Here is a 699-nt window from a genome sequence, read left to right as displayed (position 1 = left end):
AGTTTGCACTAACTTCATCTCTCCCCACTGTAGGGACTAATGAGGCCTTCTCCTCTCACCTGCTCCTTCACAAGCACAAGTCCATTCCTTTTGTTCTTTTTGTGGCTTCCAACCTCCTGTTCTGACTATTCGACCTACAAACCTTTAACCACACACATACACACACACACATACACACATACACAAACGCACACACACACACACACACACACACACACACACGGAACAAGAGAATGCTTCTAAACCACAAGTTCTCCTGTGGGAAATGTGTGTATTAAAGGATTGAGTTCTGAATGCCCTGTTAGCAACCACAAGCATTTCGATTCTAGTCTGCATGACTTGTGAATCACTCCTGTTTGAAATAACTAGAAAAATAAAGAAATTAGGCATTGGGAGCAGAAATAAAGACTAAAGTATCAGGCAAAGGAAGAGTAGATGTTTTGCAATGAAGCATGAGACACTCTGAAGGAAGTTGAAAAAAGAACAAGATGCCTGATTCTTCCAGGAAGCAAAGAGCTAAGCTGTGTATTAATAGGGCCACAGGCAGAGCTGAAGCTGTAATCCTGGCTCCTAGACAGATATTTCAAATAAACCAAATTAGTCATGAAAGCATCCCAAGGCCTTTTCCAACTTACACTCCTTAACTAGTCTGTGTTTCTAGACCACAGGGGACCCAGGGTCTTGGTTGTGGGAGTTAAT

This window comes from Homo sapiens, chromosome 2 (assembly GCF_000001405.40).
Source record: "Homo sapiens chromosome 2, GRCh38.p14 Primary Assembly".
Lineage (NCBI taxonomy): Eukaryota > Metazoa > Chordata > Mammalia > Primates > Hominidae > Homo > Homo sapiens.
Note: the sequence above shows the minus strand (reverse complement) of the source record.